Source organism: Homo sapiens, chromosome 11 (genome assembly GCF_000001405.40).
Source record: "Homo sapiens chromosome 11, GRCh38.p14 Primary Assembly".
Lineage (NCBI taxonomy): Eukaryota > Metazoa > Chordata > Mammalia > Primates > Hominidae > Homo > Homo sapiens.
This window is the reverse complement of record NC_000011.10, coordinates 118,511,918-118,527,749: the sequence shown is the minus strand read 5'-3', so window position 1 is coordinate 118,527,749 and position 15,832 is coordinate 118,511,918. Positions and strand designations below refer to the sequence as shown.

The 15,832-nt window shown below is 43.2% G+C and overlaps 2 protein-coding genes and 1 long non-coding RNA gene across 17 annotated transcripts in view; 1 reads left to right on the top strand and 2 right to left on the bottom strand.

The window, feature by feature from the left end:
• The window catches only part of TTC36 (tetratricopeptide repeat domain 36), a 3,520-nt gene extending 3,244 nt beyond the window's left edge, over positions 1–276 (bottom strand). For all 3 annotated transcript variants that reach the window (NM_001346096.2, NM_001346097.2, NM_001080441.4), the window contains exon 1: positions 138–276. Coding sequence is in view for 1 of the 3 variants with exons in the window: in NM_001080441.4 (NP_001073910.1) it covers positions 138–255 (118 nt within the window). In the remaining 2 variants the exon portion in view is untranslated. The remainder of the gene's footprint in view (positions 1–137) is intronic.
• Positions 1–15,832, top strand: part of TTC36-AS1 (TTC36 and KMT2A antisense RNA 1) — a 19,177-nt gene extending 3,345 nt beyond the window's left edge. For 2 of the 5 annotated variants that reach the window (NR_120576.1, NR_120573.1), the window contains exons 2-3: positions 6,436–6,484; positions 8,054–8,365. This is a non-coding gene — a long non-coding RNA (TTC36 and KMT2A antisense RNA 1). Of the gene's footprint in view, positions 1–174; positions 282–6,435; positions 6,505–8,053; positions 8,366–15,649 lie in introns of those variants that run through there. The other 3 variants (NR_120572.1, NR_120574.1, NR_120575.1) reach the window with 3 other exon arrangements.
• KMT2A (lysine methyltransferase 2A) overlaps positions 918–15,832 on the bottom strand; it is a 90,341-nt gene continuing 75,426 nt past the window's right edge. For all 9 annotated transcript variants that reach the window (XM_011542829.3, NM_001412597.1, XM_011542830.3 and 6 more), the window contains 6 exons: positions 15,725–15,799; positions 7,958–8,132; positions 7,686–7,793; positions 6,865–6,948; positions 6,333–6,462; positions 918–5,853 (listed from right to left, as the gene is read on the bottom strand). In XM_011542829.3, the coding sequence (XP_011541131.1) occupies positions 5,578–5,853; positions 6,333–6,462; positions 6,865–6,948; positions 7,686–7,793; positions 7,958–8,132; positions 15,725–15,799 (848 nt within the window). In that variant the 3' untranslated portion in view covers positions 918–5,577. The remainder of the gene's footprint in view (positions 5,854–6,332; positions 6,463–6,864; positions 6,949–7,685; positions 7,794–7,957; positions 8,133–15,724; positions 15,800–15,832) is intronic.

Below are 15,832 nucleotides of genomic sequence, written 5' to 3'. Positions count from 1 at the left end.
GCAGCCAACCTCTCTGATTCCAATCTCAATCATAATCATGGAACAAGGGGCCTTATAAAACCACCTCCCTCTCTGCTACCTCGGGAGGCCAGCAGGCCAGCCTATGTGCAGAGCTACACTCCAGATCAAATGCCCACCTTCTTCTCGTTCTTCCTTTTCTGCTTCCTCTCCGAGGTCCAATCCAACAATGTCTCCAAATGGGGTGTCAGGGTTGAAGATGGCCTGCAGCACTGCCTGATCATTTGGAGTCCCCATGGTGCTCAACTCCAAAATCCCAAAAGGTGACTCCAGATGAGAGAAGAGGGAGGGACGTGGTGAGGGTGGAGCCTCCAGCAGGAAGTTGATCTGAAAGGATGAGGACCACCCCTTCGTGAGGAGTGTCTCCCTGTCCATGGCTGTAGCATTTGCTCAACCTGTGGCCTGGAGGGTTGACCCTGGCTTGGCAGACTACTTGGTTATTTCTCAACTGCCCCTGCCCCCAGGAGAAACAGTAAACAAATCCAGCTTCAGCCTTAAGGTGGAGTGCAGCTAGAGAAGGTGTTCTCCAGCTTCTCCCTGAAATGCTTTCAGTTTATTATATTCACAGTTGAGAAAACCGATAAAAATCAATACTTAACCTCCTTGGATGAAACAGGGGAGCTATGTAGAAGGTAAAGGCCCTGTTCCTTTGTCCTCTTGACCCTGCCTCATATCCACAATTAATTAGGTCCTGAACATACATCACTGATGAATAAAGGAAGAAAATAGTCAAGAGAGCCAGTGTGGAGTGGACCTGAAGGTGGGCTACAGGGAATAATTTAGTGATGCCACCTTAAAGTAAAGGACTGTGGAAGGTACTTTGTGACCAGGTCACAGGCCATGCCCCTCCCGCTTTTCTCCACCCTCTCCAACCAAAGCCAAAAGGAAGCTTAACCATGTGCAGCAATAAACTTGACATGTTTATTAATTAAACTATCACTTAAATAAAAAAAAGTGCATAGAAAATAAACATGTTTAAAAACTCCTTTTTTTTACAACTATGTACACTTTTTACTTTTACATTCAGTCTTTCGTAGAGAGCTTTCAGCATTATTATTTTTTGAACTATTAAAGTATTTTCCTTCATCCCTGTCACAGGGAGTTAACACTGATGGACTTTAGACACATTTTCCTTTTTTTTTTTTCTCTTTTTCTCTAACCAGAAGCTTGGAAGAACACAAGGAAAAAAAACAGATCTGTTATACATGATAAAGTTGTCAAAAAATGTCTTATTTCTAGAAAAGAAGCTTGTCATCTGTTGAGCTCTTGAAACAATTATTCAACTACCTGTATTTACTAAAGAGACTGTTAAAAGTTCAATAAAAGAAACACCACAATTCTATTTTCTTGGTTGAAAGACAGAACTAGAGTACCTCGGAACAAGATACCAGGAAAGCACAGAACACAATTTTCCCCTAAATGCAGGTGGTAACCCCAACATTCATAACCAAAAATAGAGAAACAAGGAGGACAGGTACTGACTGGCAACATTCATGGGCAGAAAAAAATCCAGGTGACACCATGTCTGCATTTTTCTCTGATCCGAGGAATGGACTGTTCTACCATTCCTTTATGGTTAGAGGTTCCCCCCATTTCGGGAATCAGAGGAAAGTGAGCCTGACATCTTCCTGCCGCTACTAGCAACTGTAACACAATCCTTATCTATAGTGTTAAGAGAATTAAAAGCCATGGACTGAACTAGGCTTTGTTACATGGTGCATTACTATATTAGTTCCTATATATATCATATTTATATTTATTTGAAAACCAAAACAAACAAAAAGTTGCAAGTTTCCAGAGTGTGTGACTTGACTAGTATTCATGATTCGGCACAAAACCATCTGCTCCATAACCTTGTATTGCTTTAAAATGAAGGAAATGAAACATAAAATTACACCCAGCCCTTTGCAATGACCCGCTTTTCCTTAAAAACAAAAACAACTTGATTTCTATTAAAAAAAAAAAATCCCAAACCGAACTTAGAAGTTAACATCTGACAAGGTTTTGACCTTTAGTATTTTCAGATATTTGATTGAACGTCAGTCCTTTAGAAAGATACATTCATTAGAATATTTTTTTTATTTTTGTGTGTGTGTTGTATTTTTTTTTCCTTTTTTTTTTATTTTTTATTTTTTTTAAATCAAGGGAGCTACATGGTGCTCACTGCATTGGCCGGGGGTTTGACGGAGGCGAGCAGGGTGGCGGGCTGGGTCCCGGCAAAGGAGTCTGGTTGAAAACGTATAGCTGCCAGGGCTTCCCCCTTAATTCTTGTTATTGGTGTAAAAACAGAGGGGCTGTGCGAGAGGTGGTGGGTGGCCAAGGAGGGAGCCAAGAGACCAAGTTCCGGCCAAAGGGTCAGCGCCATGCAGCTATTCTGGTTACACAGTTGTCACTGGCCACCAGGAAATGCAGCCACAACAGGTTCTAGCAGCAAAGCTATAAGTGAGCTGGCTCTCACTGAGAACTGACCAGGTTTGCAGCTGTTACTCCTCAGGGATTTGGGATGCCCCTTGGGGGATTCTTGGGAATGACCCATCACAATTCCTCAATCTGCACTTTTGTGCGGAGATTCCCTTGGTCACTTTTGAAATGAACTCAGATGTGTTTGGAGATAGCTGTGCCGTTTTTGCCTTCTTTCCCTCTTGTAGGGAAACCTTCGCTTATTCCCCCAAGTTGCTGGCAGGTGTGCTGAAAATTTGGCAATGGACTCAAGGCTGAGCTAGAAGAGGAATTTCTCATTTTTGTGGTTGACAATTAGGGGGTGGAAAGGCAAGGCAAACCATCTGCAGCTGGCAGGAGAAGGAAGCTGTGGGTTCCTCCCCTGTCCTCAGGGTTTAGGGTTGGTAGAGAGTGAGGAGGGGCTCACAGTACAGCATGGCCTAGCAGGGCAGTAACTAGGTCTATTTAGCTGAGTTCCCCCCACCCCCTGACTGGCCTTTGGGTCTTTCTCAAGGTGAATTCAGGACCCATCAGTGCATTAATCATTTCAGTAACAAATGCAGCTTAAGGTTTTTTTTTTTTCTTTAAAAAAAATAGGAATACAAGGATTTACAAAAAAACCTCACACAGTGCAATAATAAAGGAAAGCAGACACTAGTGGAACCCCTAGGGCCACTGCATCTTGTTCATGGGCAAAAGGAGGAAGGGAGGTGAGGTCTGGGTAGAGTGCTTTTCCCAGTCCCCTGCTGGCACTTCTCCATGATGACAAGGAAGTCTCTGCCATCCTGGCCACAGTGCTGGGCTCCCTGCATGACAGTGAAAACAGTGACAATGTTCCAGCAAAGCCACCAGACAAAGTTCTTAAGGTCACAGGAGAGAAGGGAGCCCAGGATGGAAGGCACAGCAGAGCCATGAGTCCTGGGGCAGAGAGTGCTGGGCTGAGTCGTATTGCTTTGCTAGACTTCCATAGGAATGGGCTTCTTGCGGCGAGAAAAGGGTGCCCCACCCTCTACTTGGACTACACTACTCTGAAACCTTGTGGCAGAGGCAGAGAAAAATCTGCTTTATCGTGAGTGGTCAGACTGTGCTTCAGTTTCAACAGGCTGCCCCAAAAGAGGGCACAAGGTGATCAATGGGTTCTCTGCAGATATGAGGACTTGGTGGGCAGAGGGAAAGGAAAGAGTGGCCTATGAGGCAGATGGTGATGCAAAAATGTCAAGTTGCCATTCAACTTGTTGTTTGCTAACTCTGAAGTAAGAAAGATGAGGGAAATGTAAAGATTGCCGTCTCCCACCACTCTGGAAGTTGCGCCGGAAAGGAGAGAGGCGGGAAAGAAGAGAATCTGTTGTATCAAGATATTACTGTAGCCTTTTGAGGAGCTTCAATAGGGGAAGGAGGGGAGTGGCCCAATGGAGTTGGGTGACCTTCCTTCTCCATTTATTGTCAAAGAGCAAACCCAGGAAACATTTATGTCAACAGGGCACAAACAAGCTACACATTAAACAACAAAAAGTACACCTTCCAGGGGGAAGTTGGGCAGGAAAAACCAGACTTTGTGTGTACAGCTGAATATTTTCTCTAACTTCATCCTATGAAAATAAAAAATTATTAAAAACCGATCTTCTTTTAAATTAGGATAATACCGCGGTTTAAAAAATAGCCTTGTCATAAGTGCTTCTCCCTATGAAGTGCTTCTCATAGAAAAATATACAAAATATATTTACATTTATAAAACCTTAAATAGTAAACTGTAAACAGAACAGAGTAAAATCCAATGACTTAATTTAACAGGTTCAGGACTCTGTCTTGGGGAAAGGAAGAGAAGAAACATTTGATGCTGTTTTGACCACATCCTAAGGAGTAATCAGGGCAGTAGTGTCATTGAATTTACTTTAGCTGTGGGTTGCACGCAGGTGGCAGAGTTCCCTCAACATAAGGTGGTCTAGTCCCCAAGTTGTGGGCCTTGAAATCTGATTAGTGTTCTGCCTTCAACTGGACACTGACCGTTTAAAAATTAAGTCTTCCTATGTCTTAACAAGGGGAAAATAAAGTAACCATGTCTTAGGAATGGGACCCAAGGGTCATCCTGGCTGTGATACTCTCGTTGTTGCATGATTTAAATCCTATTTAAATAATCTTTTTCCTCTCCTACAAAATCATGCTACATATGTTTCTTTAAAACTCTCCATGGAGCTTTATGAAAATGTTTCCAAATTCTGTCTGGTTATGACCAATGGCTCCTGTCCACTTCCCCACCTGGAGTGCTTACAGGCTCAGGGAACTTTTTGCAGGCACATCCTATGCCCAGCAGGGAGTGTCCTTGAGCAGGCAGTCAGTCTCCCCTACAACCCGAAAGAAGCATGGGAAAGCAGTGGCATGAAGACAGGGGAAAGGAAGAAAAGGGAGTGAAGAGGGAATGGGAGAGGGAAGCCGCTCCTACTGTCAAGAAAGGTAATTGGCTGAGATAAGGCTCCTGGGGGCAACACTCCCACTCAAAGCCTGCAGGCTCAATGTTTGGTAATTAATTGGCACAACCCCATGACAGCCTTTTGACACCGGAGGTGCTAGGAATCCTGTCTCCCAACCAGAAGTGAACTCTCGAGTGGGAGGATAGTAGGGAAAACCACCAGACCTCTGTTTGTTCGACAGACGCTGTAGGTGGGGCCTGGCTGGCAAACTGTCAGGAATCTAACCAACCCTCCATTTGGGGCTTTGCCTGACCCACTCACTTACAGTGCTTGGGAAAGGGCCAACCTGAGGATGGCAACTTATTTCTGTGGAGAAATTCAGGCCCAATCTCCCAACATAACCAACCCTCTATAATAGGCTCCTTCCAGGCAAGTCTGCTAGGGACCCCATTCCCACTTTCTAACAGTAAACAATTGGAGGGGCCCCAGGAGAAAGCCGATCATGGATCTTTTCTTCGAGACCTCAACTCTGTCTCTGGGACTATGATCACATGTCTGATGTGAGTATAGGACATAAGAGAGCTCAGCCATCACAGAGGCCCCTCAGCTGTGCCACGCAATCCGGGAGCTCCCAGCTGCTGGAAAAGGCCTTCAGCGTTGCTTTGGATGGCCCCGCCTCCTTGCACTCCAACACTGGGGGAGAAGAGCAGCTTTAGTTTAGGAACTTCCGGCATTTCTTGGCGCCACAGTTGCAGGGCAGCTTGTTGCTGGCATCCTCAATGGGGAACTTATAGTCGTAAGTGAGTTCCTCTCCTCGGTAGATCTTACGCATGGCAAAGATGACAATGTGCTTCTGCCCATCAATATTGATGACCCGAGAATAGCAGTTAGGCTCACACGAGTGATTGATGAAGCGTGCAGCATTTCCATGCATGGTGGCATCCACTACCTCTGAGTCATCAATTCGGAACATATAGCAACCAATGCCCTGCACATGCAGAAGAAGGGAGAAGAACTTGTCATTTCTTATAAACTCAGCTTTAAGAACATGTCCCAATCTTCTCTTGATGTTACCTATAGCGGCTGAGAAAGTTTCTTCTAGTAAAATTTCCAGATTTCTCCCAGTACTATCTTTCAAGATGCTTCCACGAGGATTTCCTAGATTACAGGCCACTAGTCTAGAGGTTTCTAATGTCTCTGCAGGAGAGAGAAACCTAAAACTTGTATAGCTATTTGCTTCTGATACTAGGAGCCACTCAGACAAACCTTCTAAGAGCAACTTTCTGTACTAATCCTCAGAGTGGATTCTGTATTTTTACTGGGCCCCTCACAAATTTCAGAGTTTATTTTTTTAAGAAAGGTCTCTGAATTGATAACATACACTATTTCTTTTGTGATCCAGGGGTCATACTGGTCCCTTTCTACAGCAAAACAAAAGAACTGTGTGAGTGCAAGTGGGAGACTTACCTTGCTGTCGTAATACTTTTCCCGCTTGTCAGTCTGGATGGAGCGGATGACGTTGCCGGCATACTCAATCACCATCTCACCTGCATCAATGTTTCTCTTACAGAAAAGACCCCGGCCATGGATGGGAGACCTAGGACAAAGATGGAAAAGAGGTCAGACACAAATTTTGCAAGTAAGGTTAAGTGCGTGAATACATGAATAAGTTCTCCTGGTCTGTTAGTTCCCCAGGAGGGACATATACTTGAGAAAATAAAAATTTGGACCCACTTGATTTGGCCATCTAACACATGGCCAAAGATGAAAGTTATTTCCATTCTGTGACCCGCTGGAAGCAGTAATATTTTAATGCTTATTATGTTAAAGTCCTTGTTCAACACAAGGAGGTGCAGGATCCCAGGATATGAGGGTCAATAAATAGTGTCCGTAAAATCCTCACTTACTGAGTGAGGAAGGTCACTCCAGCATTTGGTCTGCTTTGATTTTGAAAAACTGCATTCGTTTTCTGTAATTCTTTCTAGAATTTTAGTCATACCTGTAGACACCAACTGCCTCCTTAGAAGTCTTTTTTAAGTGCCGGAAGCGCATGGGCATTGGCAGATCCATGCTAGTTGCCCTCCTAAGAGATAAGACATACTATTAACGAATTTTTTTCAGGAAATAATGTTTTGAGTCTTGAATCGAAGGTTCCTAGAGACAATTAGTACACTCTTTGTTTAATGCCAAACTGAACGAGTGCCTTATAAAATGAGCGCCCCCCTTTTTTTTTTGAGATGGAGTTTCGCTCTGTCGCCCAGGCTGGAGTCCAGTGGTGCGATCTCGGCTCACTGTAACCTCCGCCTCCTGGGTTCAAGCGATTCTCTTGCCTCAGCCTGCTGAGTAGGTGGGACTACAGGCGCGCGCCACCACGCCGGGCTAATTTTTGTATTTTTAGTAGAGATAGGGTTTCACTATGTTGGTCAGGCTGGTCTCGAACTCCTGACCTCATGATCTGTCCGCCTCGGACTTCCAAAGTGCTGGAATTACAGGCATGAGCCACTGTGCCTGGCCAATGAGTCCCATTTTTAGTATATATAGTACTTTCTGACCATGACAACTATGGTGGTACAACCAAAGCTGACAGAGTATACTATCATTAAAGAAAACAGGCATCTTACAGTTCTTTGAATTTCTCCTCTGTACCTTATATTCCTCACTCCTTACCAGGCACCTACTGCTACTTCAACACAAATGGTTTTCAGTCCTTTTAAATCTTATCCAGGAAATTCTGATGCAAACAAATTCCTACGTAGTGCCCTGACCAGCTGGAGGAGAGGGAAAGCAGTTTCTAATGACTGCTCCCCACTCAAGACTTACCGAGCTGACTTCAGCTGTACCTCCTCCTCTTCTTCATCATTGGGGTTGTATTCAGGAGGCTGACGATGTTTAGAAGCCAGGAAGTTAAACATGTCAAATGCTGACTTCCTGGGGCCAAAAGATTAAAACATATTTAGAGAAATGCTTTAATAAAGCAGTAAAGGATGATGGCATTAAAACTGGAAATCTCAAAGGGTATGTGGGAAGATGACAGTGTCATGAGATAAGAAAATCGAGACCCAAAACTGCTGACAGAAAAGAAGGGAACTTGCCTGAGGTGGACTTCAGCCCTGGCTGAGCCGTGAGGGTTCAAGGGGGGTTCATTGGCCTCCTCTGGCTTGTGGAAACGGAATTTGTAATTTCGACAGTGCTTGGCACCAGACAGCTGCTCAATGAGGAACACAACTGCATCATGGAGAATCCCCAGCATCCTCAAACCGTTAACACCTAGAAGAATCAGAAGCACCAGGGAAGTGAGGAGCGCAGTCAACAGGAAACAGCATGGTCCTACAGAAATGCCTATGCTATAGTCACTCTGCCAGAGGCTGCTCCAGGGTGAATTATAGTACATATTAGCTCGAAATTAGCATCAGATAGCCATTAAAATGATGCTGATACAGATCTATCAATATGGAAAATGTTTGTGATAGACGGCTAAGTGAAAAAAGCATGCCACCAAACTATGGACTATTTTGCTTTATTACACAGAAATGCTATATGCTAATGCTATATACACGTGTTATTTCATTTCGTGCTCATAATGACCACACAGGGCAGGAATTACTAGCTTCATTTTCAGGTGAGCAAACAGGCTTAGAGAACTGATGTAACACTCCCAAGGCTACATGATTTGACAAGATATGAACTCTGGACTGCATAACTACAAATATAATCCATCTAGGAATGGATTATCTAGGTTCTATAAGCTTATGTTCCCCCAGATACCTCACTAAAGTTTAATTTTCTTTTTTTTTTTTTTTTTTTTTTGAGATGGAGTCTCACTCTGCCACCCAGGCTGGAGTGCAGTGGCATGATCTCAGCTCACTGCAAGCTCCACCTCCCGGGTTCACGCCATTCTCCTACCTCAGCCTCCCGAGTAGCTGGGACTACGGGCGCCGCCACCACGCCTGGCTAATTTTTTTCGTATTTTTAGTAGAGACGGAGTTTCACCATGTTAGCCAGGATGGTCTCGATCTCCTGACCTCGTGATCCACCCGCCTTGGCCTTCCAAAATGCTGGGATTACAGGTGTGAGCCACCGCGCCCGGCTTTTTTTTTTTTTTTGAGACAGACTCTAACTCCGTCACCCAGGCTGGAGTGCAGTGGTCCGATCTCAGCTCGCTACAACTCCACCTCCTGGGTTCAAGCAATTCTCCTGCCTCAGCCTCCCAAGTAGCTGGGACTACAGGGGCACGTCACCATGCCCAGCTAATTTTTTTGTATTTTTAGTAGAGACAAGGTTTCACCATATTGGCCAGGCTGGTCTTAAACTCCTGACCTCAGGTGATCCACCTGCCTCAGCTTCCCAAAGTGCTGGGATTACAGGTGTGAGCCACAGCACCCAGCCAGCCTCACTAAAGTTTAAAAGCAATGTTAATACACCCCTAACACAGAACTCTTGTGTTGTTATGATGAATGTGTGGAGTAATACACTCAGTAGCTGCTTTGTTCTACTCACCGTCTCATGCTGTTAATGAGCATTTTTTATTTATTTTTATTTTATGAAAACAACATTTATATAAGTCTGCTGGCATTGATGGTGAAAGGCTTTCATTTTAAAATTATTTGGCTTTTTCCATTAAAGGGACAGGGCACAATTACAACTGCCACACTTCTTTTTGACACTAGCAAATAGCTAATGTTCTTTACATTTTTATTAAGTAAACAATATTATTTCATTTACGAATACTGGTTTGGTATTATTAATAGATATAGAAACAGTAATGGTGTTAATTTTGGATCAGGTATCCATTTCATAAGTGTAATTGTATTAGGACTGCAATTGCACATATGCAATTCCAACAGACATACAGTTTGCATTATGAAGCATATTTAGAGATGTAACCTTGGTGTAATGTCCTGGTGCAGAGGAAATAGCAGATGAAAAAGCAGACGATCATGCCACTGCACTCCAGCTTGGGCAACAGAGTGAGACCTCATCTCAAAAACAAACAAACAAACAAACAAAAAGAATGTTGTCTCTAGATAAGCAATATTCTTTTTCTAAGAGACAGGTTTCACTTTGTTGCCCAGGCTGGAGTGCAGTAGCATGATCATAGCTCACTGTAACCTTGAATTTCTGGGCTCAAGCTGCTCCCGCCTCAGCCTCCCAGGTAGCTGGGACTACAGGCATATATGCCACTGTGTTTGGCTAATTTTTAAATTTCTTGTGGAGACAGGGTCTTACTGTGTTGCCCAGGCTGATCTTGAACTCCTGGCCTCGAGTGATCCTCCTTCCTTGGCCTCCCAACTTGCTAGGTAGGATTACAGGTGTGAGCCACTGCACTGGCCCCTGATAAGTGACATTCTTATGATCACAACTGTTGGTCCCTTAAGAATTTGGCTTAGGTATGTAACACTATGTAACACAACTGTATAAGATAAGAACTTAAGCCATATAAGGCAATGGCAAACTCTTTTTTCTTTTCTTTTCTTTTTTTTTTTTTTTTTGAGACAGAGTCTCACCCTGTCGCCCAGGCTGGAGTACAGTGGTGCGATCTTGGCTCACTGCAAGCTCTGCCTCCTGGGTTCACACCATTCTGCTGCCTCAGCCTCCCGAGTAGCTGGGACTACAGGCGCCCGCCACCACGCCTGGCTAATTTTTTGTATTTTTTAGTAGAGACGGGGTTTCACTGTGTTAGCCAGGATGGTGTCGATCTCCTGACCTCGTGATCTGCCCACCTCAGCCTCCCAAAGTGATGGGATTACAGGCGTGAGCCACCGCGCCCAGCTGGCAAACTCTTTTCTACAGACCACTAATTTTCCTTAATAATTTTTTCCTGGAAGTTCTAGATTGCTGTGAATTCTTAGGTTAAAAAAAAAAGACATTGAAAAACATACTACATACTCAAGTATATTTTCACAGAAAGTTCCTTTTAATATGTACACTGAATGTTCAACTCTCACTCACCAGAGAGATTACAATGAGATTAATATTGTGTTGATAATGGGAAAACAAAGATGCATTATGTGTGGGCCCCCGTCTGTTCTTAAGGAGCTCACAGCAGAGGAAGGCAGAGACGTATACAAACCATGCAATGTGCAGGTGTCCAAATTAAGGTATAATATAAAGTACTATGGGAACTCTTAAGAAGGAACAATCTGTTCTGCTTGTGGGAGACTCATTTATTCATTCAATAAATATTTACAGCACACCTAAAATATCCCAGGCACTCTTTCCATCTTTCCACTGTGCCAGACAGGACCTTAGGAACTTACAGGTGAGCAAGACAGGCAAGGTACCTGTATTCATAGAGCTTTTACTTCATGGAAGAGACAGACAATAAACACATCAAAGATATTCCCACTTCAGGACTTTTTCATCTGCTGTTTCCTCTGTGTCAGGACTTTAGAAAACATAGTTAATTTAATTTAATTTTTTTTAAGAGAGTTTCACTGTGTTGCTCAGCTGGTGCCGTGGCTATTCACAGGTATGATCTTGGCACACTATAAGCTCAAACTCTCCTTCCTCAGCCTTCTAGCTTGCCTCGAGGACTTTCGCTTTATGTATATGCATGATTGGCTTCTTCTCATCATCACTCAGGTCTAAGCTCAAATGTTGCCTCATCAAGAGATTCCAGATTTCCTGTCACCAACTACCCACCTCTGTGTCACTCTCTATTTCATTTCCCCATGTTATCTTCTTCATGGTACTTACATATACATATACACCACTAGAATATAAGGGCATGAGGGTAAGGACAAGGTGGCAGCACTGGAAATGGAGTATAATGGACAGGTTTTGGACTGGGGAACACAAGGGTCATTGTGGTTAACCTCCAGGCTAAACCTTCCACCCCAGATGATTAATCTAAGACAATCCTGGGAATCCCAGTCCCTTTGCCAGAGACTGGCTTAGAAATGGACATGGGGCTGGGTACCTGTACTCTCAGCGCTTTGGGAGGCCAAGGTGGGTAGATTACCTGAGGTCAGAAGTTCGAGACCATCCTGGCCAACATGGTGAAATCCCGTCTCTACTAAAATACAAAAATTAGCTGGGTGTGGTGGCGTGTACCTGTAGTCCCAGCTACTCGGGAGGCTGAGGCAGGAGTATTGCTTGAACCCGGGAGGCGGAGGTTGCAGTGAGCCAAGATTGCACCACTACACACTCCAGCCTGGGCAACAGTGTGAGACCCTGTCTCAAAAAAAAAAAAAAAAAAAAAAGGACAGAAAAAGAAATGGACATGGTACCAAATTCTGGTCTGTGAGATGTCCATTTGTTCCTAAGCCTCTCCTGTTCCTCTGAACACTGTGATGACTGAATGTTATTGTGGGAACTGCTGCAGCCATTTGCTATCAGCTTGAAGATGAAGTTTTACTATAGATCGTAAAGTGGAAAGAAGAAAAGAATCTAGGTATTTGATGACATTGCAAGCTCCTGTACCAATCAATCCTGACACGTCTGTCCCTACCTCTGGACTTTCTGTTATATAAGATGATAAATTATCTCACTCTTTAAATCAGTTAAGAGTTGGGATTTCCGTAGGCACAGGAAGAATGATCAAAAAAGGTTAAAGAAAAGAGGTGACCTTGAGCAAAGTCTTAAAGGATTAACAGGAGTTTGTTGTGTAAACCAGGGAATTTGGAGGGAAGAGAGTAGATGGAGGAAATAGGTCCTGGTGGAGGGAACTGCATCAACCATGTTATGCTGATATGAAAGCACATTTAGGGTAAGTAATAAGAATTGCTTGGGGGCACATGTTAAAAATTCAGCTTTCTCAGCTCCAAGCCCAGGGATTCTGATTCACACCTATAGGCTACACTTTAAGACACATGGATGGGCCGGGCACAGTGGCTCACGCCTGTGATCCCAGCACTTTGGGAGGCCGAGGTGGGCAGATCACAAGCTCAGGAGTTCTAGAGTAGCCTGACCAGCACGGTGAAACCCCGTCTCTACTAAAAATACAAAAATTAGGCCGGGCGTGGTGGCTCACGCCTGTAATCCCAGCACTTTGGGAGGCTGAGGCGGGCAGATTACCTGAGGTCAGGAGTTCAAGACCAGCCTTACCAAGATGGAGAAACCCTGACTCTACTAAAAATACAAAATTAGCCAGGCATGGTGGCACATGCCTGTAATCCCAGCTACTCGGGAGGCTGAGGCAGGAGAATCGCTTGAATTCGGGAGGTGGAGGTTGCGGTGAACCGAGATTGCGCCATTGCACTCCAGCCTGGGCAACAGGAAAGAAACTCTGTCTCAAAAAATAAAAATAAAAATAAAAAAATAATAATAATACAAAAAATAGCCGGGTGTGGTAGCATGCGCCTGTAGTCCCAGCTACTCAGGAGGCTGAAGCAGGAGAATCACCTGAACCTGGGAGATGGAGGTTGCAGTGAGCCGAGATCACGCCACTGCACTCCAGCCTGGGTGACAGAGTAAGACTCTGTCTTGGAGAAAAAAAAAAAAAAGACACATGGATGGATCTGGAACAGTAAATAGTGTAGTGTGGCTGCAGAACAAAGAATCTTGAGCAGTGAGGGAAGTGGGGAAAGCTGAGACTGAACAGATGAATCCGGCTGAAGAGGACCTCGCCATGTAAGGATCCGTAGACAGGAAACCTCAAAGAGCAGGGCTGGGTCGCTACTCAGCGACTGTATCCTGTGTTTAACATGGTACCAGGCATTTTACAAGTGGTCAGTAAATATTTACTAATAACAAATACGTAAGGGTTGAAGATTATACTCTGTAACTAGTAGGCAATAGTAAGATTTTGAGGCACCTCTGGAGACTCTGAGGGTACAAGGAGGTGAGATAGGAGACTCAGTTATAGGGCTTTTTAACATTGCATGAGAGAATAACAAGGGATATGTCAGAGAAAAAGAAAGGGATGTGACTTATATTTTTGGGGTAGAATTTTAAAAATTATGAGCAAGACTTTTTTTTCTTTTTCTTTTTTTTTTTTTTTTTTTTTGAGACAGGGTCTTGTTCTGTCACCCAGGCTGGAGTGCAGTGCCATAATCTTGGCTCACTGTAGGCTTGACCTCCCAGGCTCAATGCGCTCCTCCCACATCAGCTTCCCAAGTAGCTGGGACCACAGGCATGAGCCATCATGCCTGCCTAATTTAAACAATTTTTTTTTATATAGAGATGAGGTCTCACTCTATTGCCCAGGATGGTCTTGAACTCCTAGACTCAAACAATCCTCCCAAGATGTTGGAATTCAGGTGTGAGCCACTGTGTCCAGCTGAGATTGAGTACCCTTTCATGCTATGGGCCATTTGTATTTTGTGGGAGATAAACTGCCTGTTGGGTCTTTTTCTCTTTTTTTTAATTAAAAAAGTTCTGAAAAATTTTAAGTATAAAAAAATACACAGGGTGTTATAATAGCCATGCATGTACCTGTCACATAAAATGAACAAATGTTAGTATTTTCTAAAGTGCATCCAAATATTTTCCTTCCCTTCCCTCTTAAAGGAAGAACATCACTGATAAAATTAAATTCCTAAAAAAAAAAAAGTTAAAATTCCTGTAAGTACCCATTCACCCACCTTTCCAGGAGCAATCTGAAAGGAGGTAGGAGAGGTAGATATGGATAAAACAAAGTCAATGGAAGGTTTCTACCTTAGCTTAATTAAAACCTTCTTCTTCTTCTTCTTCTTTTTTTTGTGACAAAGTATTTATCTGTCGTTCAGGCTGGAGTGCAGTGCTAAGATCATAGCTTAATACAGTCTCATACTCCTAGGCTCCAGTGATCCTCCTGCCTCAGCCTCCAGAGTAGCTGGGAGTACAGGTGTGCATGCCACGGTGCCGGCTAATATATATTTTTATTTTTTGTAAAGATGTATTCTCTGTATGAAGCCCAGGCTGGTCTTGAACTCCTGGCCTCAAATGATCCTTCTGCCTTGGTCACCCAAAGTGTTGGGATTACAGGTGTGAGCCACAGCATCCACTGATTAAAATCTTTAGTGTTTGCTCAAAACAAGTGTATTAATAAGTTTGTATGCTGCCTAAATTTAATATGAAGTCTAATACCAATGGTAAATGATTTCAACTTTAAGAAAAGATAACATTTCACACTACAATGTCTAAAATAAAAAAAAAAAAACAAAAAACAGGTAAGTGTTGGCAAAGGTGGAGAAATGGGAACACTCGTGCATTGCAGGTGGAAATGTAAAATGGTATAGCCACTTTGGAAAAAAAACCTGGCAGTACTTCAAAAAGTTAAAGAGTTACCATATGACCCAGCCATTCCACTCTGAGGTATATACTGAAAAAAAATAAAAACATGTCTACACAATAACTTGAACATGAATATTTGTGGCAACATTATTCGTAGCAGAAAATAGAAAAAACCCAAATGTCCACTGACTAATGAATGGATAAGCAACATATGGTATATCTACACAATGGAATATTTGGCAATAAAAAGGAATGAAGTACTGATGTGGAAGGGAAGATGTAACAGAAGGGAAGAACCTGGAAAGTATTCTGTTGAGTGAAAGAAGACGGTCACAAAAGGCTACATATTGTCTGATTTCATTTATATGAAATGTCCAGAATAATCAAATACATAGAGACAGAAAGTAGATTTGTGGTGGCCAGGGGCTGAGGAATGACTGCTAATGAATAGGGGGTTTCTTTTAGGGATGATGAGAATGTTCTAGAATTATAGAGTAGTGGTGGTTATACAACTCTGAATATATTAAAAACCACTGAATTGTATGCTTTAGATGGGTGAACTGTATGGTATATGAATTAAATCTCAATAAAGCTGTGAAAAAAATTTTTAACTGATTTTTTTTTCACAGAATCAACTCTGCCTTAGGCGAACAATTTACCATAATATTCTGAGACAGGAGTGGAATAACACCTCCAGCCATTACCTGCAAATGAGAGCTGCTTTAGGCGGGCATTTGATCGAGCTTCCTGGACTTTATCTGTCAATGACTTCCAGGCATCTGAAAGGAAATAAAGAAAACCCGTAAGCCAGA